Source organism: Homo sapiens, chromosome 3 (genome assembly GCF_000001405.40).
Source record: "Homo sapiens chromosome 3, GRCh38.p14 Primary Assembly".
NCBI lineage: Eukaryota > Metazoa > Chordata > Mammalia > Primates > Hominidae > Homo > Homo sapiens.
The window spans coordinates 112,340,818-112,365,532 of record NC_000003.12 but is presented as its reverse complement, the minus strand read 5'-3'; the positions used below and the strand labels follow the sequence as shown (position 1 = coordinate 112,365,532).

At 37.7% G+C, this 24,715-nt stretch overlaps 1 protein-coding gene across 11 annotated transcripts in view, besides 2 other annotated features; it reads right to left on the bottom strand.

Moving 5' to 3' along the window:
* Positions 1–2,720: 2,720 nt before the first annotated feature.
* Positions 2,721–24,715, bottom strand: part of CD200 (CD200 molecule) — a 30,240-nt gene continuing 8,245 nt past the window's right edge. For 5 of the 11 annotated variants that reach the window (NM_001365854.1, NM_001365853.1, NM_001365852.1 and 2 more), the window contains 5 exons: positions 24,550–24,631; positions 20,245–20,571; positions 17,703–17,975; positions 15,714–15,821; positions 2,721–3,990 (listed from right to left, as the gene is read on the bottom strand). In NM_001365854.1, coding sequence (NP_001352783.1) covers positions 3,983–3,990; positions 15,714–15,821; positions 17,703–17,975; positions 20,245–20,571; positions 24,550–24,622 — 789 coding nt within the window. In that variant the 5' untranslated portion in view covers positions 24,623–24,631 and the 3' untranslated portion in view covers positions 2,721–3,982. Of the gene's footprint in view, positions 3,991–15,497; positions 15,822–17,702; positions 17,976–20,244; positions 20,572–24,549; positions 24,632–24,715 lie in introns of those variants that run through there. The other 6 variants (NR_158642.1, NM_001365855.1, NM_001318826.2 and 3 more) reach the window with 4 other exon arrangements.
* Positions 6,702–6,771: an enhancer, noted in NCBI's record as "active region_20238". NCBI's record gives its function as "activates an Ori minimal core promoter by ATAC-STARR-seq in GM12878 lymphoblastoid cells {active_cell/tissue: GM12878}" and the evidence as "EXISTENCE:reporter gene assay evidence [ECO:0000049][PMID:35858748]".
* Positions 10,145–10,774: an enhancer, noted in NCBI's record as "OCT4-NANOG hESC enhancer chr3:112073606-112074235 (GRCh37/hg19 assembly coordinates)". NCBI's record gives its function as "activates a minimal SCP1, AML or CMV promoter by ChIP-STARR-seq in primed H9 embryonic stem cells {active_cell/tissue: H9 hESC(primed)}" and the evidence as "EXISTENCE:reporter gene assay evidence [ECO:0000049][PMID:30033119]".

Here is a 24,715-nt window from a genome sequence, read left to right as displayed (position 1 = left end):
AACAAATAATAATGGTTTGGGTCAGGTGTAAGAATGGAGGTAGGAGCTGGATTCTGAATATAAGTACAGAACAAATAGGTTACGCTGGCAAGTAAGATTGAGATAAATCACTGCAGGGTGGGCAGAAAAGAGAGTTCACTAGACAGGAAGCTGGGATTTCTGAGTTGGAGTTTTGGCCAAAAACACATTTACAATGCTACTGGAAGAAAGTCGCTGAAAAGTATGAAAGTCACTGAAAAGTATGAAGTCACTGAAAAGTATGATTTTTCACACCTACAAAAATGGGGTTAATTACCTTCAGGACCTCACAAGACAAATGATTATGACATCTGTGTAAATGTTGGTTTGCTTGGATTGAGTCACTGCTCTATGTGACTTTGTGCAAGTGAATTATTAGCCTGAGCAACTGTGGAGGGAAGGATGAAATCAAATCTGGAATATTTTGAGAACAAACAAAAAATAAAAATATCACCGCTGTGAAGAAATAATTTAAGAAGCTTTATTTTAAAAGGCAAAGGCCGAGCAAAGTCACTCACCTCTTTAATCCCAGACAGGAGGATTTCTTGAAGCCAGGAATTTGAGACAAGCCTGGGCATCATAGTGAGACCTTATCTCAACAAAAAATAAAAAGTTAGCTAGGCATGGTGATGTGTGCCTGTAGTCCTAGCTACTCAGGAGTATGAGGCAGGAGGATCGCTTGAACCCAGGATTTCAAGGCTGCAGTGAGCTATGATGGCACCACTGCACTCCAGCCTGGGTGACACAGTGAGACCCTGTCTCTACAACAAAAATTAAATAAAATACTCTTTCTGAGCTCAGAATAGCCATAGAAGAAAGTTCAAAAAAATTATTTTAATCAAAGCCTTATGATTCCTAGTAGTAATATGGATTTTGTACTCTTTGAACCTAGATTTATGAATTGTTATCAAGGCACGGATTGAGGAATACAAACCAAAAAGAAAACATAAAATGACAAAAAAACCCCTTCATTTGCAGTTTCAGTTTCAGTTAAACACAACAGTCTTCTTCTGTTTTCTCCTCTCTCTAAGCAGGTTTGCACTACTCTGGAATTTTTCTGAATTTTTACTAAGAAGAGAAATACATGACTGAGTTATTCTAAGGGACTCAAAAGTTTACAACTTTCCCAATCTGCTTAAATATGCAAAGCCCAAGCTACCTCTTTCTAATTCACAAATACAAAAAAGCACCCATAGTTGAAAGTTTAGGATAAGTATGGAAGGGTTGGTGAGCAGCCAGCCAGGGTGAGAGGGCAGGAGACATAGAGGAGAAAGCAAGGCTGTGGTGTTCCACATGGAGCCACCTTCTCAGCAGAGAGGCATGCTCTCAATTACCCTTTCCTTCTCCCCTTTATTTCTCTATAACCTCCCAAGTCTTCCCCATAAAACATACCTATCCTAAGTCCAAGTATCTCAACATCCTGAAAAGTAACTGAAAAGCCATTTAATAAGCCAATTTAAATTGAATTATTAACAATAGATAAAAATTAGTCTTTGAGCTTTCTCTGCATTTTGAGGAGGAGCTCCCAGTAATACAATGGCCTAAAGTCCTGGTTAAAAGGTGAAATGCTTAGGTACCATGAAGATAGATGTTTAGCAAGGAGTTCCTTTGAGAAAGACTCATGAAATCTTCCCATAAGGTGGTTTTCTTCTTTGCCAATACTTTAAAACAGTAGTCTTTAGCATTGTCCCTAAGACCATCTCAGGGGGTCCACATAATCAAAAAATTATTGTCATGATAACACCAATAAATTATTTGACTTTTTCACTCTCATTCTCTAATAAATGTGCTCTGAAGTCTTCCAGAAGCTATATGATGTTTGATGTTGGCATCACTCTGATGGCTAATAGGATATATGGTTACACATTTTTGTATTTAAATTTTATCAGTTTTAATTTCAAATATGATAAATATCAACAGATATAATTCACATTACAGAAAAAGCTCTTTGGGATCCTCAATGATGTTTTCAAATGCATAAAGGGGTCCTAAGACCAAAATGTTTAAGAACTGTTGCATTAAGTCATCCTGCCTGATCTAGTACCAATTTAGCAGAGATACTAGAAATACAGCAAAATACAAGGGGTTGGTTCCCACTAAATTCAAAACTATGTGAGCTAATCTGTCTGCAAAGGTTGGTATCTAAAAGCAAAATCAAAAGAACACATATAAAGAAGTGCTGCAGAACTGACAGGGTCATGTCAAAAGGACATAGGCACCAACTCAAAGGAGCTCACACCGGCCAGACATCTGATTTGTGTTTTTGTGATTAGTCAGAAACACCAGCTTATCTTTTTTTTTTTTTTTTTTTTTTTGAGACCGAGTCTCGCTCTGTTGCCCAGGCTGGAGTGCAGTGGCGCTATCTCGGCTCACTGCAAGCTCCGCCTCCTGGGTTCACGCCATTCTCCTGCCTCAGCCTCCCGAGTAGCTGGGACTATAGGCGCCCGGCTAATTTTTTGTATTTTTAGTAGAGACGGGGTTTCACCGTGTTAGCCAGGATGGTCTCGATCTCCTGACCTCGAGATCCGCCCGCCTCGGCCTCCCAAAGTACTGGGATTGCAGGCTTGAGCCACCGCGCCCAGCCCAGCTCATCTTTTAGGAGGGGAAAGATAGAGAGGAGGGGAGGGTTTTACATATGATGGGAAAAGACAAGGATTATCATTCATTTCCACATTTCCCAAGAGAATATCATAAGCCAAATATTTGGAGTCAACACTTTTAATTGTTCAATATTTTACTACAAATATAAGAAACAATACAGAATTAAATAACACATGAAAATCTTGCTATATATATATATAAATATCCAATTTAACAGCGAAAACAACTTACACTTTAATTCCTAGGCCACTGGATAGACACAGACAAAGCAGAAGATACTGAAAAAGCAACTAATTATGGTTATTAAAGATTCAACATCATTCCACTAGCTGGAACAATATCTTTAGAACAAAGGGATTGTATGCTCATATTTGCCTCCTCTGCTATTGGGAAAAGTTAACGCATGGAAAAAGAAGCCAGCAGAGACAAAGCATATGAATTGGCTGACTGCTATACAGGAAATCTCCTAAACATCTGTTTTCATAATGTATTTTCATTATATGAGGCTGAATTTAGAATGACGTAAAATAGGGCTGGGTCATGTTATAAGACAAATGGACAGGGAGGGCATGCTTCTCAAAAAATGTGAGCTATTGTCTAAGACTAACAATATTTATCTAGCTATAAAAATAAGTTAAATGAATAAGTTAAGATTGCCAATGTTACTTCACAATAAATTCAGTCCTATTTGTGTTGGAGTAAATCTCATAGAAGCACATGAAGAACAGCAGTGAAACCAAGGATTCTAGCAAGGCCAGCTATTAGCAAAGCAGTAAGCAGGAACTGGACTAGATACCAAATGATGGGGAAACAGACTCATAGACCTAAGAACATAGGAAGAAGAGATGTAACATCAACAGAAAGGCAAAAGGTAAGCTCTCTGTATTCTTTCTTCTCTCTCTCTTTCAATTCTTCCCCCTTTGCTTATTCCCTTTTTTTTTCTGGAATTACATTTTAAATTAAGTTTTAGAGCTATGTGGTAAATTATTTGGTCCAATTCCTTTATACTTTGGATGAGGTAAAGTGACTAACAGAGGTCCCCACCAGTAGGAGCCCAAGTCAGTCTGTGAGCTCAGTGCTCCTGATACTAACTAAGTCCAGTGCCCTTTCAACCACATAACATGGCATTGCTTTACAAAATCAAGTCCTACAACAGACCTGAGAGGTAAACTGACTTCCTCTTGGGATTCAAACACTGAGTAGCTCAGATGGCAGTAAAAAGTCGTGGGATCCTTAAGGCTTTCGCTCCCACCTCTTTTGCTCTTTCAGGTCCTTTGGAGAATGGCCCCTTTTCCTCCTGCTTTTCTCTTGTGTCAAATTCAAGTAGACCAGGGAATCACTTTCAGGGTGCTGTGTGACTTATTTAGGGCTCTGGATAAAAGAAAAACAAGGTATTAACTTTGGACACTTGTAAATTCTATCATAATACATTTTAAGAAGATAAATAATAGAGAGATTAAGAAACACAGAGTTATTCTAGTGTATATTCATTGGCAAAGATAAAGAAGTAGACATTTCTGACCCAGTATGGTGTGAGGGGACTATGACTCTTTACAAGAACAAAAGTAGGCTGGATGCAGTGGCTTGTGGCTGTAAGCCCAGTGTTTTAGGAGGCCGAGGCGGGAGGATCATTTGAGCCCAGAAGTTCAAGACCAGTCTGGGCAACATAGTAAGACCTTGTCTCTACAAAAAATAAAAATAAAAAAAAAAATAGCTGGACATGGTGGCATGCACCTGTAGTCCCAGCTACTCAGGAGGCTGAGGCGTGAGGATAACTTGAGCTCAGGAGATTGGGGCTGCAGTGAGCTATGATCTCACCACCGCACTCCAGCCCCAGGCAATATAGCAAGACACTATCTCTAAAAACAACAAAACAACAACAACCAAAAACAAAAACAAAACTGAAGCAAAAATAAAAGGGCATACGTAATCCTAGGAAATAATGGTTTAGAAAATCACCTAAGACTACAAGTAAAGGAATATGTTCAAAAATTCCAAATGATCAAAATGTATTCTATTTGTAAGCTTTGTTTCTGATGGATAATAACTCACTGGATGTCAGGGTAGAAATGGTCACGAAGTAGAGGCCTTTCCAAGGGCTAGTGGCTTTCTGGCACATACTGGGAGCCTGGAAACCTCTCAAGGCACATAGACGATGAAGTAAAAGACTTGGAATTTTATCTTGGCACCACCTCTCACTCTCTGTGTAATCTTAGGTAATTGTTTACCAGAACCTGCAAAGTTCTGCACATTTTAGATCCTGCCCAATATTTCTAACATCAGATATCAATGGACCATGGAAAGACCATCTTCTCCCAACATGGCTCAATATTTTTCAATTTCAATAGTAAAAACGAATTACTAGAAAAATGACATAAAATAACATAATTCATTTTTAAATTATCAGATTTAACAGATATAAAATTACTGTCAAATTCTTATCATAGAGTGTAAGCATTTTTTCTCAGTTATGTACTTATTTTACTTCAGACTAGTAAAGAACACTTCTTGGATGGGCAACCATCCTCAGACCATATTGGGAGTAACACTGCTCTAAAATATATACATATATATATATATTTTTTTTAGATGAAGTCTCACTGTGTCAACCAAGCTAGAGTGCAGTGGCGCAATCTCTGCTCCCTGTAACCTCCACCTCCTAGGTTCAAGTGATTCTCCTGCCTCAGCCTCCTGAGTAGCTGGGAGTACAGGCACATGCCACTATGCCCGGCTAATTTTCATATTTTCAGTAGAGATGGGGTTTCACTATGTTGGCCAGGCTGGTCTTGAACTCCTGACCTCAGGTGATCTGCCTGCCTCAGCCTCCCAAAGTGCTGGGATTACAGACATGTGCCACCGCACCCTGTAAAATATTAATGACTTTTCTGCCTTAGAGCTTTCACATTTGCAATTAATTTGCTAAAAACCACTCTTCCCTTGTCTCCTCCATGGCTGGATTATTCTCTCCTTGAAGGTCTCTGATTAAAAGTCACCACCTCAGCGAAGCCTTCCCTAACAAAATCCAAGTAACTGGTATCCTTTTCAAGTTATCCTCTTTCATTGCATGCTATATTTTATATTATTCTATATTATTTCCTTGTGCTAAAATCTCGTGTTTTAATAGTATCCTTATTTGTTGATTCACTTGTCATTTCTCTGCTGTCCCCCTAACCTGTCATCTCCATTAAAATGACAAGGTCCTGTTTTGTTCATTATAGTATAATAACCAGTGCTAATTACAATGCCAAGCATATTAAAAATTATTAATAAATACTTATAAAATGAATGAATTGAACTTCTGTGAATTTGGTTTTATCACCTATCAGATGGAAATACTTTCCTTATCAATTGCTATGAGAATTAAATGTAATAACTTCCAGGTCTAGTCCTTTTGTCTCATGAACATCCATTTAAATATTTAAGAACACCCTCCATGCCCTCCTTTCATCCCCACTTACAAAGTTTTATCTTCTGAAATCTAAGTGCTGTTTTCCCTGAGTGGTGAGACTATGCATTTTGAACTATCAATTACCAATAACAGAATTTATAATTCTTATATGACCTAACTACTGACTGGAATCCAGAATAATAATCTAAATGATAGCATGGTTTCCTTTAAAGATCACTAGTATACATTTTTGTTGTTGTTGTTTGTCTGTTTTTTTTAAAAAAAGCTCTTAAATTAAGCCTGACTTTGAATGGTTGATTACTTGATTCTGCATCTGGTCTGAAGAAGTTTTTCCTTTCTCTAAAATAAAGTTTCTATATATCTTTCTCCCTCCATCGCCTCAAAGGCCATGCTTTACTCACAGCCCTTGCCAGAGCAAAACCTTTTAGGATTCTTCTAAACTCTAGAATACCTAAGGACTACCTGAAGTACCGGTTAATTTGCAAAAACACAGGACACTTGTAGAGAATGTGATTCTTTGTCTTTTTGTGTGGTTCAGGAATATACTTTCGTTTTGTTTCTCTCTTTCTTTCTCTCTCTTTCTTTCCTCTCACTTTTCTTTCTTTCTCTCTTTTGTTTCTTGTTGGATTGGGTAATCTATGAAGCAAGGTATGAGGGAACAAAAATAGTAAGATAAGTTTAAAACATATGGAATAGAGAGTGAAGAAGTTGTTTAGTGCAGAGAAGACAGAACAGCCAAGTTGTGGTAAGGACAGGAGAAACTAGATGCAAAACTCATGAATCAGTGCTGATGGGGAACCTAGGGCAGCTTTGGATCTACAAGCACCTTCAGGTAGCCGCTCTTCCTGACATGCGGCAGTTTAGTTTCCTGGAAATCCATTTATACACATCCTTACAGGAACTGCCCTCCCTCTACCCTTGACTCGCACTAGCTTCAGTGAGTAATTTTTCTTCCCATACTCCTACAAAAAAAATGTCTAAGCAAAACAGTTTCTCTTCTTCAAAAAGAGATACAACTGCACTAGCAGGAAATCAGTTTTCGGCATCACAAGTTCATCTAGGCATCACAAGTTCATTTCAGTATACGCACGTTTTTAGAATGCACATTTTCTGATTCTGTCTCCCCAGTGGGTCCCCACAAATTTCTCCCAAGACTGCTACTGAAATGACTTATATAGCAGGTCCTCCAACAACATCCTTTCATTCCACAACATGTTGTTATAATGTTGATGAGAAAAACAACAGATTCCCATCCAGGACCACTGTGTGGGAGTTAGCACATCCTCCCCAAGTCTGCATGGGTTTTCTCTGGATACTCTGGTTCCCCCCACATCCCAAACACGTACTGCATGTTATGTAAATTGGCATGTCCAAATGGTCCCAGTCTGAGTAACTGTGTGTGTGTGCGTGTGCGTGTGTGTGCGCGTGTGTGAATGCCCCCTGCTCTGGGATGACGTCCTGTCTGGTGTCAGTGTCTGCCTTGCATCCTGAGCTGCATAGGCTCTGGCCACCCATACCCTTGAACTGAAATCATTGAGTGAATAATTATCTCACTTGTTTTTGTTACTGTTTCTTAAATGTATGCATAACTCACATTTATTTCAATGTTTAATATTAGAAATGTTTTGGTCTTTATTAAAAGTTTGGTGATGTTTTTGTGACTAGAAATATGCCATAGGAACTTAAGTCTTGTTTCTATCATTTAGCCTGTGGTAAAATTGGTTCTGTTACATGCCGTTTTGCTTAAACTCGCAGTTTCCAAGAACCTATTGATGACATTAAGACTTACTGTATGAGTTCTTCTCCCTTCCAAATACGCATGCCCATGTGTCCAAACAGATTCAGATAACCTGAAATCTTCCTCAAAGCTGTCCTAACTGCTACAATTCCTGTTTGTCCCTCCATTTACCTCTCTAAACTCGTCCTTCCTTGAACATTTGTACAATTCATGAAAATATACTTCGATAAAACGAAAAAGGACCTTAGATTTAGTAATTACAAAAATGAACATCTGTTACAAACTTAGTCTGCCGCATTGGTGTGCTAGAGCTTTATTGGCTCACGCTGATGGTTAAATTGTTAGTAGCTTGAAATTTGCTATGGTGGGAACATTTACTTCACGGAAGTTGGCGACAGCTACAAATAAACACTCCGCCCCTCTCCTCCCAGGCCAGTGTTCCAGCGTATCATTCGTTTTAGGTACTTTTCTTTTTCTTTCTTTCTTTCTTTCTTTTTTTTTTTTTTTTGAGACAGTCTCGCTCTGTCCCCCAGGCTGGAGTGCAGTGGCGCGATCTCTGCTCACTGCAAGCTCCGCTTTCCGGGTTCACGCCATTCTCCTGCCTCAGCCTCCCGAGTAGCTGGGACTACAGGCGCCCACCATCACGCCCGGCTAATTTTTTATATTTTTAGTAGAGAGGGGGTTTCACGCTGTTAACCAGGATGGTCTCGATCTTCTGACCTCGTGATCCGCCCGCCTCGGCCTCCCAAAGTGCTGGGATTACAGGCGTGAGCCACCGCGCCCGGCCATTAGGCACTTTTCTAAGCACTTGTATGTATTCCCGTTTAAATCTTCACAACATTCTTATGAGATACAGTTACAATTATTATCCCCATCTTACTCAGTGAGGAAAAGGAGGCACAGGGAAGTTAAATGGCTTGTCCAAAGGTACTCAGCTAGTTTGTAAAGGACAGGATTTGATCAAAATCGCTAAGTAATTGTTCATTGTTGCAAATAAAAATGACTGACTAGAAAACAACCAATTTTATATGTCATTTGCAATCATCCTTGCTAAAATTAACAGTTGAAAACTTTAAACTCTTGAAGGAGAAATATTGTAGAAATAAATATCACATTCAGTTTCTTATTTCATGTGGCCTTGGTTAAGATGAAAAGAATTTCAGTTAGATAAGGAGTAATAACTTCAAGAGATCTATTGTACAACATGGTGACTACGGTTAATAACAATGTATTGTATACTTGAATATTACTGACAGAGTAGATTTTATGTGTTCATACCACAAAAAAATAAGTATGTGAGGCAATGCACATGTTAAGTAGCTTGATTTAGCCATTCCACAATGTATACATATATAGAAATATCATGTTGTACACCATAAATACATAAAATTTCTGTTTTCAATTAAAAAAATAAAAACAAAAATTCATAATAAGTAATATTTTTAAAAAAGATTAAAAGACAATTGTGTACATAATCCCAAAGGTATTTAACATGAACTCTTTAAAGGACTTTCAAAACACAAGGCTAGCATTTCTCTTTATTGTATAAAAAAGGGAGAAGGTTGGAGTATTTATAAACTAGTGTCCACGGAGACTCAGAACTAGCAGCATTGGTCAGTCATCATGAAATTCTATCTAGTTTGAATACTGAGAGGGGCAAGAGGCTCTCTTTTAATAGCCTCTCATTGATAAATTTCCATAATTGTGCCTCATGAAATGCGGAACTTAACATTGAAGTTGTGATTTTTGCAAAACATGTCTTGCATGTTTGTAGTACAAAATCTCATTTGTTCTTTATTTACTAGAAGAAATTGTATTTTTTTACAATATGGTTATTTTTAGAGATTAAAATTATTCAAATTAAATTGTACTGAACATACTTTTATTTCTTAATTTTTTTCTGATATTTCTAACATTTTTTTCTACTTAATATACTTCATCAAATATATATATTTTTAGCTCTGTCTTTAAAAAAATTGTTAGTGGAAGAACTGCTCTACTGCATCTGGGCTGCTGAAATCAATTAGGGCCTATAAATGGGAATTTTGAAGAATTCTGAAAATGATATGAAAAGCATTGAGGCTCCTAAAATCTATAATGACCTCATAACATGACTCTGCAAGTATTAGGGACTGAGAAATTCCCGGTTTAATACGTTATGATAAGCGGGGAAAGACCAATTTGGTTATGCCTACTATCACCACACATAGTGATAAATATAATTTTCCCACTTTGAACTTTCACAGTTCCCTGTGAACTTGTGTTTACGGGATGCTTATGACGAAGACAAAGGAAGTCAGAATTGCTTCCTCTATGAAAAGGTAGGAATAGGGAGAAGCAGGAAATATGCAAGAACTGAGATTCTAAGAAAAAAAAAGTTTTTGTAATATTATAGTTAGTGATAGAAAACAAGGGAAAGCAGAAGTGATGCTTTTGCATTACAGATTTGAGAGACAAAATATAATCCTGGAAAATAAAGCCTTGCCTGGTCAGAGGTTCTGACCAGGTTTTGAAGTTCTTTGATAGAGAGTTGCCAGGAACAGAGCAAAGGCTATGGAATTACAGAGAGAGAATGCTTCCACTGGGAGGTCAGTAAACAGCTGTCCCTCTAAGTAAGTCACTCCCACACCCTCTTAGCATTTGTGATAGGCATAATAATGGCACCCCAAAGACATCCATATTCTAATTCCAGGAATCTGTGAATATGTTACTTTACATGGCTAAAGGAATTTTGCTGATGTGATTAAATTAAGGACCCTGAGATGGATTATGCAGTTGGGCCCATTGTAATCACAAGGATCCTTATAAAGGAAAAAGGAGACAAATGTTTCAGATTTAGAGTGATTCAGTGTGAAAAAGACTCAACTGGACATTGTTGGTTTTGAAGATGCAAGGCAAGGAAAGTGGGCAGTCTCTAAAAGCAGGAAAAGAGAGAGAGGGAAAAAAAGGATTCTCCCCTAGAGCCTCCAGAAAGGAATGTCTCCCTGCAGACACCTTGTTTTAAACCCAGTGAGACCCATGTTGGACTTCTGATCTCTAGAACTGTAGTATAATACATGTGTGTTGTTTTAAGCCGCTAAGTGCGTGATAATTTGGTAAAGAAGCAATAGAAAATTAATACAGCATTTATGATGTTTCCCCCTCTGTAAGCCATGTTGAGTACTTTCATTAAGTGGCCCAATCTTTTCCAGTTTAAATAGCATACAGTTGGCTTCTTTTGTTAGTAGAGGCTAGGGCCTTGTATCTGTTTAGAGGCAAGCTTATTATATGGGTGTGACTATACTACTGAAATGCACAGCGGTTCCAAACAAAACAAACTGGTAATAGACACTAGGTAAAGGATATATGCAAACTAAAATGCAAAAGGAGCAGAGATGTTAGAGGATTTTTCAGCTGGTAGATTTTCTCATCCTTTTTGTTTTTCATTAATTAGTCTAACAGGTACTGACAGCTAATCTCCTTGAAAAGCCCCATGGCCAAAAAGCCAAGGGAATGAGTATGCCATTTGAGGACTGAACACACATTGAATTATTGGGCAGGAGACTGAGATGTCTTGATTCCTAGAGATGTTCCCCACATACAGACTGAAACTTAAAATTTGGGTCATCTATGCCCATGTGGGTTTAGATGTTAGAGAGAACAGCAAAGAACAGCTCCAGGCAAGAATGTCCAGGCATTAAGAATCTGTTTGCTAAGGGTTTTGTGATAAGATTATGTATGTCATCTTGGCATGATAGGTAAATCACCCAAAATTTGTAAAATTTTTGCGGAAAAATAGCCCTGGAATTCAAGATTTCTCCCAGCAATACTAATCTAAGCAGTTCAATGAAGATTCTTTATCGCTTTTCTCATGTAAAGCATCACATTTCTTCCTCCTGGAACTATGAGGATACTGGGGTGGGGTTGGGTAGTGCCATTCATCCAGCCTCTGTCAGGGAAGCATAAGTACTTTTTGAGCAAAGCAAAGGTTCTTATTTCATACAGCCCGGACAGAGGGCTACCCATTCATACAGCCTTTGTACGGGAAGCAAAAGTGCTTTCTGAGCAAAGCAAAGGTTGTTATTTCAGGAGGGGTGAACAGATATTTTTTGTTTTCCCCTTTCAACTAATGACCAATTACATCATCACAAATTGTTTATCGAACACCTTTGTTGTTTGTATTAAGTATTAAGCTTAAAATAGGAGAAAGTCACATGCTGTTATCCAGGAAATGACGTTTTATTAACTTTGCCATTGTTATTATACATTGTCAGGAACCCATTCATAGGTTAGGTTATTGTGAAGAGAAGGAAATCAAGATAAATATACAGCTCATGCAGATGAAAAACATATTTCTACATGGATTAGCTAGTACTTGAAAAAAAAGTGAAGTTTGGCATATAAATTTTACATGATTGTCTAAATTTTCTATTGTTCTCCAAAGCAGCCTTGACTCAACCAAACCAAAGCAAAGCAAACCAAACCAAACAAAATAAAGCTGCCTAAAAATTAGGTGATTGTCTATGATGATCTGCCTCAAAGTGAAGTTTCTTTTATTGTTTCTGAGAAGCATGTAATTGTTGGTGGGTTGACTAATGAGAAATAAAAGATTATTCTCAACTCCAAATTTAACTACATTGTCATATATGTGAAAGGCACAACTTTATGAAATCACTGGGTTTTAATAGAAAGAAGTATTTCGAGATGGTGGAAAATTTCCCTAGGAAATTTTAATTCTTTCTCACTTACTGTTTTAAAGTGCTGGATTCATGAAAGAGAAAAGAATGCTCTTTGAAATCTTATTAGTCTTACTGTGGTAGTCTCCTGGGAAGTAACTGTGATAATTCTATCAGGAGTGGTGCAGAAAAATGGCCTGTGCTACTTCGCAGTTGGAAAAAACCAACGTCATGCTCTCTGGCATTATACAGGATCACAAGAAAAGTAATGGTCGTCTAACTTCTACGTAAAAATAACATCAGTAACTGTAAGTTTGCTTAGGCATTTGTGAGCAATGAGTAGTGATTATGACCTAAAATAAACTTCTGTTTTGGTCATTTACCCAACACAGAATTGACCTTACTTAACAGACTTACCTTACTTACCAGATTTTTATTATTGGCTACTGGACAGCTACATGAAGATAATTCTTTGTCTGCTCACACTCAATAAATTCAAAAACTTATTCGTCTGTCTCCTTTGCTTTTCTACAAACTCTAAACACTCTCTCTCTCTCTCTCTCTCTCTCTCAGTTCCACCTCTTCACTTTAGTGTTTCTGTTCACATCACCATTTTTGAGGTCACCAAGTTCAAAACCTTTGTATTATTTTGGACCAATCGTGTTTTCCTGCTCATTTGGAAATTTTATGTTTTCAGATGATGGAAAGAAAAAGAGAAAGAAAAGAAAAGTAAGGATGAAAACAACTGGAAGGCAAATGTGTAGGACTATTTCCCTTCCTCACAAAATATCAATCAGAATTTGTTAATGGTAGAAATAAAAAGTGTCACTATCTTCTATGATTTTCTGTCCTTTCTCTTTTCTTTGTCCCAACTTTTTGTATAACCTGAAGTTTGGTCTAAATGAACCAGTATTTTCTTAGCCCTGAGCATTTAAGCTTCAGCATAATTGACTCTTGGTTTTACTAGCTGTAAGTGTATGATGCCAAATTATCTGGCTGTTAAAATTTCTAAATCAGTTGTTGTAGTTTGGATACTTGATCCTGCAAACCTTATGTTGAAATCTGATCCCCGGTGTTAGAGGTGGGGCTTAATGGGAGGTGTTTAAGGGGGGAAGATCTCTTGGGAATTGATTAATGCCCTTGGTGTGAGTGAGTTCTCTCTCTGTTAGTTCCCATGAGAGCTGGTAAAACAGCCTGGCAGCACCCTCTTTTATTTTCCTGTCTCGCCATCTGATCTCTGCACACACTGGCTCCCCTTTTCCTTCTGCTATTAGTGGAGGTAGCTTGAGGCCCTCACCAGAAGCAGATGTTGGCACTGTGCTTGTATAGCCTTTAGAAACCAAATAAACCTCTTTTCTTTATGAATTACCCAGCCTCAGGTAACTTTTGTAAGCAACACAAATGGAAAAGAAATGAGTCAAAAATCCAGTCATTCAGAGGAATTAATGCAATTGGCCATATGTCATGAAGACATCATCAGTAAATGGCAATCCTGATGCGTACAGGAGTCAACATAGGTTCAGGTATTTATTTCATAAGTGAGGAAAAACTTGGGCAGAGAAATAAGCTGATTCTTTTTGCTTCAAGAATCGGATATTGGCATTGAATGACTATATTTCCCAGAAAATCCAAGACTTGCTTAATGAACAAGGGTAATTATTTTGCATGTCTCTTTCCAGTAGAATTTACCTCAGGCTTGAGTAGATTGCATTATAAAACTTTTGCCCAAGAGGGACTTTTAAAAATGAATTTAAATACTTTATACTTGTCTGCTTGCACTTTCCAAAAGAAAAGGGCATAGACAGTAAGCACAGATTAAGTGAATGCAACTGATAACAATAGCTCCTTTCAAGTCAAGACATTGGGGCATCAGTAATGACAGGAAGAACATTTGGCAGAGGTCAGGGCACCGGGGTTTAGTCCTAGCCTGCTCTTAAGAAGCTGTATAAACTTATGGAAGGAAGTCAGCTTTCCTCTCTGGGCTTCAGTTTCCTAATTGGAAAAGAAAAATTTCTGGATAAAGTAGAATCAAACAGACTTCTGTCTTTGATTTTATTCTGTGGAGCACTTATGAGTTCCACAGGCTTATAATTATGTGTAGTAAGATTAACTGATTTGTAATCTTCTCTCCTGGACAGAACAAATACCTTTACCTACTTTTGCAAAAGGGCCACTGACACTGAAGGCTTTTTGGGTGTTTTATAAATTCACAAGAATTAATCTGGAGGATTATGCAAAATAAAGTGGTCAAAAACTTGAAACATGAACAAAAACATAAAAATATAAACATAAAACTAAAAGGAAACATTTCTATAAAACATAAAATGAAAGGAAAAAATGAGTGAGATTTTTAATCAAAGTCTAAAATAGCTATCAAAGCCAACTATTTTTCTTTCCTGACCCCTATCCTTCAGTCATCTGAAATGGAGGAAACTCCCACATCACCCCTTCACCCTAGCAAATTTCCATTACACAAAACATAAACTGCAGCTTTGTATTCACTTCAATAAATTATGCATTGTCTACAGAAACCAAAGACATTTCATTCTTCCTCTCTATCTAGCTCACTGCTCTTGCTTTATAGTGTCTCTTGTTTTATAATTTCTCACAATATCTTAGACTGGCGTTTATGAGGTACTGAATTTACAATAGGAGAAAAGGAATTGAAAAAAAATCACCTTAAAAATTCTCTCTGTCCTCAATCAGTTCATTCAGTAAATTAACATTTATTCAGACCCTGGTATATATAAGATGCTGTGATAGTTGTGAAAGATAAAGAGAAATTTACAGTCTAGAAGGGCAGAATGGCATGACACAGTTACTGTAAGTATGGATCACTTGCATGATGCTGACAGTGTTTGAGGCATCGTGGGAGTATAACACAGAAAGTGCTACTTAATGAGTGATCATAATTGGACAATTGCAGCCTCTTAAATGGGCAGATGGCCTGTGAAGTGCTATAAAAAGAGAAGAGATTGTCCTTCTCATTAATGAGTGGAAAGGGCCTTGTGTGGGTGCCAGACTTCTTTCTTTGGTTCTATCACCATTGTTTGATTTCATTAGCTTTTAAGTCATCTTAGCAAACAAAAAGCAGAAATGTCCAATTTAATGTCCAATTGCAAGAAAATGCCCCGACGCATTTTAAAACAGTATCAACATTTCTGTATTTTGGAAACAACAGACAAAACACATTGTTGCCATTCCCTTATTTATATCTTCAAATGACTCACAAATTGTCATTAAAAATCAAATTTAATTTATGTCATTTTTTGAACTCCCTGTGACAACTCACCTCGGTCCTGATTCCGGTGACGTTTCCAGTACAGTAAGATTGAGATTAGGACGAGAAGAATTACCAGGGAAACAATGCTTAGCAATAGCGGAACTGAAAACCAATAGCCTATAGATATTGAAGAAAGAAAAAGGAAAATGACATCACATGAGGAAATTGTTGAGGCAAAAAGAGTTGAGCTTTTAGTTAAAATTATCCTTAAATACATACATATGTAGGTTTATACGTATGACTTCATATTATTTTAATAATATTTAGATATTAGTAATAGCTAACATGTTTTATCTGGCTACTGTGTAATAAGAGCTTTAAACTTATCGCATTTAATCCTCAAAACATCCCAAGAGTTATTATTTTCTAACAGATTTAAAGAAAACTGAGGCTTTGAGAATTTAACTGAGATCAAAATCAGAATAACAAATGGGATAGCCAAGGTTTGGTTGAAAGTCTGTTTGCCTCTAAAGCACATATTCTTTGCCATACTGTCTATTAAAAGAATACATGTTTATTGAGGAAATTGTGGAAAATGCAGAGAAGTACAAAGAAAGAAACATGAATCTCATGATTTCAACCCCCAGAGATAACTCATCTCAAAGTTTTTGGTAAATTTCTTCTTATCTATGTCTTTAATGCAACTCAGCCTAAATATCAGTTCCTCAGTGTCATGTTGCAATGCAAAGGCAAATGAGGAACTCCTTGATTTGGGAGTCTCTAGCATCTTCTCCATACCTCCATAATGGGATTCGTCACATCATTATTTAACTGAACACCTCAGACCTCAGACAGGGATTTGTTTGATTTCTATAGGTCCAGTGCTTGACATAATGCTTTGAGCATGGAAGTTTTTTGGTAAATGTTCACAGAATAAACAAACATTATACAAGTGGTATATAAACACTGTAAGTGATATAAGTCAAATCTGGCATTCTTGGAAAAAAAAAAGACATTCTTTTTTAGGTTCTTGTTTTTCCAGGAAATATACCCTTTGCCATGGCTGAATCTGAAGATCTCTTCACAAATATCCAAATCCAACACTGCAAGTCTTTTTGACCAAATTTACCTAAATATCCAATTTCTGATTAGTCTGGGTTTTCAGGGACTCCAAAGGCCACTGCAGTAAAGAGGTGGGTGTAGAAAGCTTTTCCAGTTTATTGCTCATAATTTCTCCAAAAAAGAGGAGTAATACTTTTTAGGAGGCTTATTACTGACTGCTTCATCAAGAGTCAGTGCTTCAAAACTACACAGAGAAAAGACGTGGCTATTATTGCTAAAACTTCTTGTCTTTATAATCTCTGCTCCCTTTATTCTCTCCTCTGTCATTCTCACCTCTTGTATCTATGAGGCCCAGAGACAGTAGTTTAGACAAAAACACAAGAAAGCAAAAAGGGACTTGGATAGGAGGCAGTTTGCTTTAAAATGGGTGACGAAAGCACTTCAGATAGGTCCCTTTCTCACAGTGTAGATTATACAGTGATTTCATCACAGATGTCACTTCTTCCAGGAAACCTTCCAAATCTCCCCCAGATTGAGCCCCTCCTTCCCAACCTCCAATCCTCCCATGGTGCATCATAGCTTTCTCACTGGAGAATGTAATGCACAGTTTTACAATTGCCCATCCATTTATCTCTATTCCCTAGTAGACTAGAAGCTTAGAGACTGAGTCTTGCTCATTGCTGCACTTTTCATGTTCAACTCAAAGTCTGGCCCAGAACAGACCTAATTACATGTTAGTAGAGTGGAAGAAATAAATAAATGAATGGATCTCAGCAACAGCATTTGGTGTGTGGGCAATGAACCACATTTATGAAAGTAAAACTTGCTTTATTTGTTTCTTCAATTTTTTTGTTTTGTTTTGTTTTTTCCTTATTTGCCCCATTCTTTCTCCAAATAGATTATGCTAAGAGGCTGAAAACCTCTGCAGGACATTCACTGCCTTCCAGGTCCATGCACACAGACACAACCACAGCCACCTTGCTCACTTTCTCTTACCTTTGTTGACGGTTTGCTTAAAGTCGGTCACAGTCCCCAGGTGCAGCACCTGGCAGATCACCTCCTTCCCCACCTGATTCTTAGGGTCTTTGATATGGAGGATGCTGGTAACAGACGTGGTCCCATTTGGGTGAGACAGAGTCACTGTACTATTTTCAATCCCTGACCGAGGGACCTTCCAGAAGACCATGGGGGCTGGGCGGGCAGTGGCAGAGCAAGTGATATTTAGGTGGTCTTCAGAGAATTTGTAGTGAAGGGATACTATGGGCTGTACTGGGACAAAAAATAAATATGATCTGTTATCAGTTAAGCACCTGGTCTGAGTCCTGCAGTCTCCTCAGAGAGATGAAGGAAATATGCTTATAGAAAGATAATGGAGGCTAGAAAGATAGCATGGCATATCCTACCCAAACTGGGGACTTTCCAGTTCCTCTTGTGTCTAATTTTCTGATCTGCAGGATGGAGACTGGCCTAGTACAAACCTGTGATGAGAAAGACCCTTTCTGTAATTTGTCTGTAGCAGAATTTGTCAGATGGACATAGAGTATTGAGAAGTCAGATGATACTTTTCTCTCCCAAACAGTCCTAATTATTCTGTTCTCTTCCAGGGGCAATGCAGCATCTCTGCCTTCTTCTGGGTATTCCTCTTAAATGGCTTGACAATAACCACCAACCAGCACTGCCATACATGTGTCCTGTACCTATCAGAGGCACTAGGGCAGTTTTGGAACAGAGAGCCCATAGAAAGGCTACTGCTTAGAGATAGCCATTTTCTTCTTGGAGCTGGACCAGTGAATTAGACGCATGGAGGAGAGCTGGAAAATCCCTTTTTGGAAGAGCTACACAAAACCAAAATTTGGAATTCGTAGCTAATAACCATAAAAATTAAGAAATGACTGTTGGAAGAGCACTGGAAATCACCTGATTAAGTTAAGAAAAACTAACTAGCTCATGAGAAAATTATTTTCAGGCCAGCTGTAGCCTGTACCCTTTTGAAAATCCCCTGACTAGTGAGTTCATTTTTGTTGGAATATAGAATTTTTCTTTTCTAAGCAGATGTAAACTTGTCTTTCTGTGGTTGGCTTTGGAGCCCACAAGATAATTAAATGGCAGTGCTAACTGAAAGCCTGGGCTGTGCTTATAGGTTCAAGAGGCAGGTAGAAGACACTGGGTTGGGGAAGTAGGGCTATGGAACTGTGGCTCTGGCTAAGATTACTAATGTCTGTGAGCGCTGGAAGAAGGGAAATAGAAATGAAAAAACATGAATATGGTTGATGGGCCAGACTGAGTGTTGAGGTCCTATGATGTATCAAAGAATGGCTTACATGAAAGTTATAAGGTGTGGATGGAAAAGGTCAGTGTGGAAGAGAACAGAATTACTAGCTTTAAAGCTCAGAGACATCTGCTTTTCAGGAAAAAAAAATACAAAAGTCTATGAGTGAAGGAAGGAGACTAAGAGAAAGAAAGGTGAGGAAAAGAGGAAGAGAATAAAAAGGAACAGAAATGAGAAAAATATGACACAAGAAAAAAAGAAAAATTAGGAGGAAGGAAAGAAGAAAGGAAGGCAGAGAGGGAGGAAAGGAAGGAAGGAGACAGGGAGGAGAAACAGAAAAAGAGAGAATGAAAGAAGTGGAAATCAAGAAAGAAACAACATAAGATTCTACAGAGAGGACTCATTATAGGCAAAATAAGTAAAAGAAATTTCTTTTGGCATTGTCCTATCTCCCTTGCATTCTCATCTACTAAGCCTTTTCTTCCCTGTGGGCAATATTATTGGCATGAGTAAACTCTCACCTTAATATTCCTAATAACCATAAGTTTGTCCTCTACTCCCTAAAACTACTGCCGTGTGTGCCATGCTCCAAAGTAATCTCTTATTCTCACTTCGTAACCTTTCATCTCAGCTGTGTGTCAGTTAAGAAGAATTTCATCAAACTAAGCCTCTTGGATTTTAAAAGAATGCTCTTGCCCAGTTATATCTTTAGTTGGCATCATTTCAGGTATGAAAAGGCTCTGCTCTATGTGCCCTTATCAATCCTGAAAGAGCTATCTCCCCAAGCAAAATGAGAAGGACAATCATAACTGGCTCAAGGCTAGTCCAATCTGGCTCTGTCCTTAGATCCAAAAAGTTGAAGTTGTAAGTGACCCTAGAAATGATCTATTTCACACTTATTGTCCAGACAATGAAACTCCAGTGGAGAGTGGATAGGACCCTTCTAGGGTCGCATGATTGCTAGTGGCAAAGCCAGGTCTGAATCATATCACTGCTTATGGAGAACTTGTTGCCCTCACCATTGTCCTCAAATTTCTCCTGTTGACAGCAGGATCCCTCAGAGAAAAGATAGCTCCAGCCAAAGAACTCAGTGTAGCCCCATGAACTCTCCAAATAATCATAAACACAGCTATAGTAGACAAGAAAGGCTATCTTCTCATGACCCTTTCTGTGGTTAAAATCCTGAAAAACTGGGCACTACGGCTATATTCCAAACATTCTTGCAAATAGTATTTCCAGACACAGACAATGATTCTCAGAGATTCTCACCATAGACGGTGAGGCAGGCCGTTCCTGAGATCTTCCCAAAACCAAAGGTATTGAAGAGACACATGTAACACCCTTCATCCTCCAGGGTGATATTCCAGAAGGTGATGGTTGAGTTTTGGAGTCCCAGCTGGGTAATGTTTATCTTGTCCTTATAGGCAGGCTGGATCACCACCCCATGGTTCTCGCTGAAGGTGACCATGTTTTCTGGGCTTACAGCTTTCTTTTTCTGCCATGTCACAATGAGGGCTTCCTGGGCATTTTGCAGAGAGCATTTTAAGGAAGCAGGTGTGTACAGCTGCTCTCTTTCATCCTGGGTCACCACTTGCACTATGGAATCATAAAAGAACATTTATATTTAAAGATTGTAACACACATACACTTTTTCCTGATTATAAATAAAATGTATATTCAATGTCAAATATAGAAAAGAAAGAGAAAATGCAAAAAAGAAAACATTTATTTACATTCCTACGTGATGCCAGAGAAATATATAGGTTCAAATATGTTTGTTCAATCTTTAAAGAATAGTAGCAGAGTAGAAAAACAAGAGAGCAACTCTCAGTTACAAGAAATTGTGAATGATCTGTGTAAGCTGCGAAGTAGGTACAATGAGATTGAAGATGTAAACTGCCAGGTAGGATAGCAGCTTCACCAATCTTGTCCATGCTTGGAGAAGTAGAAGCAAAGAGCAGGAAAAGGCCAAAGGATAACAGGCAGAGTGACCACTGTAAGTAAAGAAGATGGAGCAGCCCTATGCATTCCACACAAACACACACACATACACAATCTACAAAGGAAGCAGGTGGAACAGAGGTGTCTGCCTCCAGGAAGCAAGAGTGTATATAGGAACATAGGTAAAGAGATTTATGGGACAATGTTCTGGAGGATCTTGAAGCTTTGGCACACAAATAATAATTTACACACCCTCTGCTTTCACTAAATGCTATGGTGGTAATTTCTTCCCTTCCTCAATATTAGCAACTCATACCATCATACATTATTTGATGGAAAATCTCAACATAAAAACAAATAGCCAAACTTTTGAGAAAGCCAATACAATGAAAGAGAAATAATAAACTTTACAAACCCAATAACTCATACAAAATGAATAAAGATATCATAAGACAATAAATACTTTGACATGAATACATGTGATGATATAAGTGTAATAAAAGCATAATAAAAGCATTATGAATAGTAGAAATTAGAGATATAGAAAATGAGGAATATAAAATTGCAACAGATAGGCTGACTTAGCAAAATAGATGCTACTGAAGAGTAAATTAGTAAAAAGTAAGAACAGGCCATGAAATTATTCTAGAATGTAGCACAAAGAGATAATGATATGGAAGGGATTAAGGAAAAATTCAATAAGTAGACTTAAATGTTCCAAAATCAGTTCAGTAAGACTTCTAAAAGGAGAGAAAAAAAAGAATGGAAGACAAAACCACTGTAAGAAGGGAAAAAGTATTTTTCAAAATGATAAAAGGAACAATCTAAAATCAGATCTATTATAGTAATCATAAACCTTTATGCACCTAACAACATAACTCCGAAATATATAAAGCAAAACTAATAGAATTACAAAGAAAAAATTTAAATTCACAATCATACCGAGAACCTTCAATTTAATATATTTAAACAATTGTTAAAGGAAAAAAAGTTAAATAGGAAATTTGAAAAACTACCAGGTACAGTGGCTGATGCCTGTAATCCTGGTGCTTTGGCAAGTCAAAGTAGAAGACTCACTTGAGGCCAGGAGTTCAAGATCAGCGTGGGCAAGAGATGAGACCCTTATCTCTACAAGAAATGTAAAAATTAGCCAGCCGTAGCGTCATGTACTTGTAGTCCTGGCTACTCAGGAGCATAGGACAGGAAGATTGCTTAAGGCCAGGAGTTCAAGGATGCAGTGAGCAATGATTGCAGCACTGTACTCCAGCCTGGGTGACAAGGTAAGTCCATGTCACAAAGAAAAGAAAATTTGAAAAACAATATATATTTATATATATACTTTAGGTATTTAATATTATCAATGTTTTATATGTTTATATTATATACACTATATACTTTATATGTATGTAGATCTCTCTCTCTGTGTGTGTATAAATATAAATTTCTTCCCTTCTCCAATATTAGCAACTCATACTATGATAGATTATTTGATGGAAAATCTCAACATAATAACAAATAGCCAAACTTTTGAGAAAGTCAATACAATGAAAGAGAAATAATAAACTTTACAAACCCAATAACTCATACTAAATGAATAAAGATATCATAAGACGCACACACACACAGACACACACACTTTACTCAAAGAAAGGATGTATAATCTTTTCAAAACACACATAAAACCTTCCTCCAAATTGAACTCAAAATAGGCTACAAAAAAGTTGCTACCCTACGTATGGCCTTGAACACCGTTCATAATACAATAAAATTAGAAATTTACATACTTCTTTTAAGTCTTAGGTACACCAGAAAGCATAGAAAAAATCATAAATTATTATAACTGAATGACAATGAGAACATAATATGTTAAAAATCTATAGACATGGGTAAGACATGCCTGGTGCAGTGGCTCACGCCTGTAATCCCAGCACTTTGGGAGGCCGAGGCGAGTGGATGACTTGAGGTCAGGAGTTTGAGACCAACCTGGCCAACAAAGTGAAACCCTGTTTCTACTAAAAATACAAAAATTAGCCAGGCGTGGTGGTGGGCACCTGTAATCCCAGCTACTCAGGAGGCTGAGGCAGGAGAATTGCTTGAACCCGAGAGGCAGAGGTTGCAGTGAGCTGAGACTGTGCCACTGCACTCCAGCCTGGGTGACAGAGTGAAATTTCATAGAAAGAGAGAGAAGAAAGAAAGAAAGAAAGAAAGAAAGAAAGAAAGAAAGAAAGAAAGAAAGAAAGAAAGAAAGAAAGAAAGAAAGAAAGAAAGAAAGAAAGAAGGAAAGAAAGAAAGAAAGAAAGAAAGAAGAAAGGAAGGAAGGAAGGAAGGAAGGAAGGAAGGAAGGACAGTTCTCAGAGAAACATTTAATTCTAGCAACATTTAATAGAAAAGAAGAGATACTTAAAAATGAATACACTTACTTCCAAACCTCCTACCCTCCCTTTCAAATATCGCAGTGAATTAATAAAGATAAAGACACTAATAAAATGGTACACAAAATGTAAACTTGATCACAAGCATCCAGACTTGTTTTTAAAGACTGATAATCTGGATAAAATGTTGACAAGTATAAGTAGAAAAAAAAAGAAGGCTGAGTAAACAAGCAACTCCCCCACAATATCAGGGAATGAAAGATGGGTATAACAAATACAGGCTGGAACCCCTGAGTATTGCATGATTCAAAACTAAATGATGTATACTCTTGGAAGATGTGAAAAGTTCTGGGAAACTATCTGTTGCTAGGATTGAGACTTCTTGAAAGTTTGTTGAGATTTTGCAGACCAGAGATTTGAAGAAATTACTGCTTTTAGAAGGCAGAGTGAAAGGGAACTCAAAACTAGAGTTCAACTCTTAGATGAGTTTTTTTTTTCTTTTTGACTATGGAAGAAATCATTTAGGGGAAATTTACAATTCTTTGCTACCTCTATGGAATCTCACTTAGATTCCTCTGGTCAGTTGATAAGTCCTGTGATGAATGTTGTGGACCAGAGTTGGAGATGGGCATGAAGCCTATCTGATCTTCACCAGCATCACCCACATCTGTGGAGGCTGATGCTGAGCAACATCACACTGCAAGTGATGAAAAGGCCAGTGGTAAAGTGAGTGTGGCCTCCCAAGGAACTGAGGAGGAAGAGCTAGGAACTTCGGTAGATAAGTAGATGGCACAACCAAATTTGTTATACAATAGATAATATGAGCCTATATAACTTCTACATTTCGTTGTTTTCTACATTTTTCTGTAAAAAGGTAACACATCCAATTTTAAGGCTTACTGCCAGATTACTTTCCAAAAAGATTGAATTCAAGCATTCCCATATATTTAAAAACAGAGGAAATCATTATTTGTAATTCAATTCAGTAAGTGAAAAATGACATTTTAAAATAGAGGATTTTTTCATAAGTCTGGTTCATCTACTATGGAAACGGCTTCTAAATATCAAAGTGTGCTTCTACATCGAAAACAAAAGTGTGGAAAGCAGAAAAGAACCACGTCCACTCCTCCAGGCAGATTACATGCTTAAATAATTCATGCAGACAAATGGAACCAGCACAGCACAAACAATACTGGCTAAATGTCTTCACCCCAGAAATTGTGTTTGCTGGGCTCCAAGCAGGGGAATTGAGTTTCTTTACCTTGTGCTGTGCACAGCACCACTGCTGCCATGACCCAAACCAGGCTGTAGGTAGACAGATGAGAGAAGGGCATCCTGATCACCTGAAGACAGAAAGCAAAGTACAGAAATGGGGGTTTGGATTTGGACAAATCCAAGGAAGCTTCAATCTAATCGCTATTTCAGGG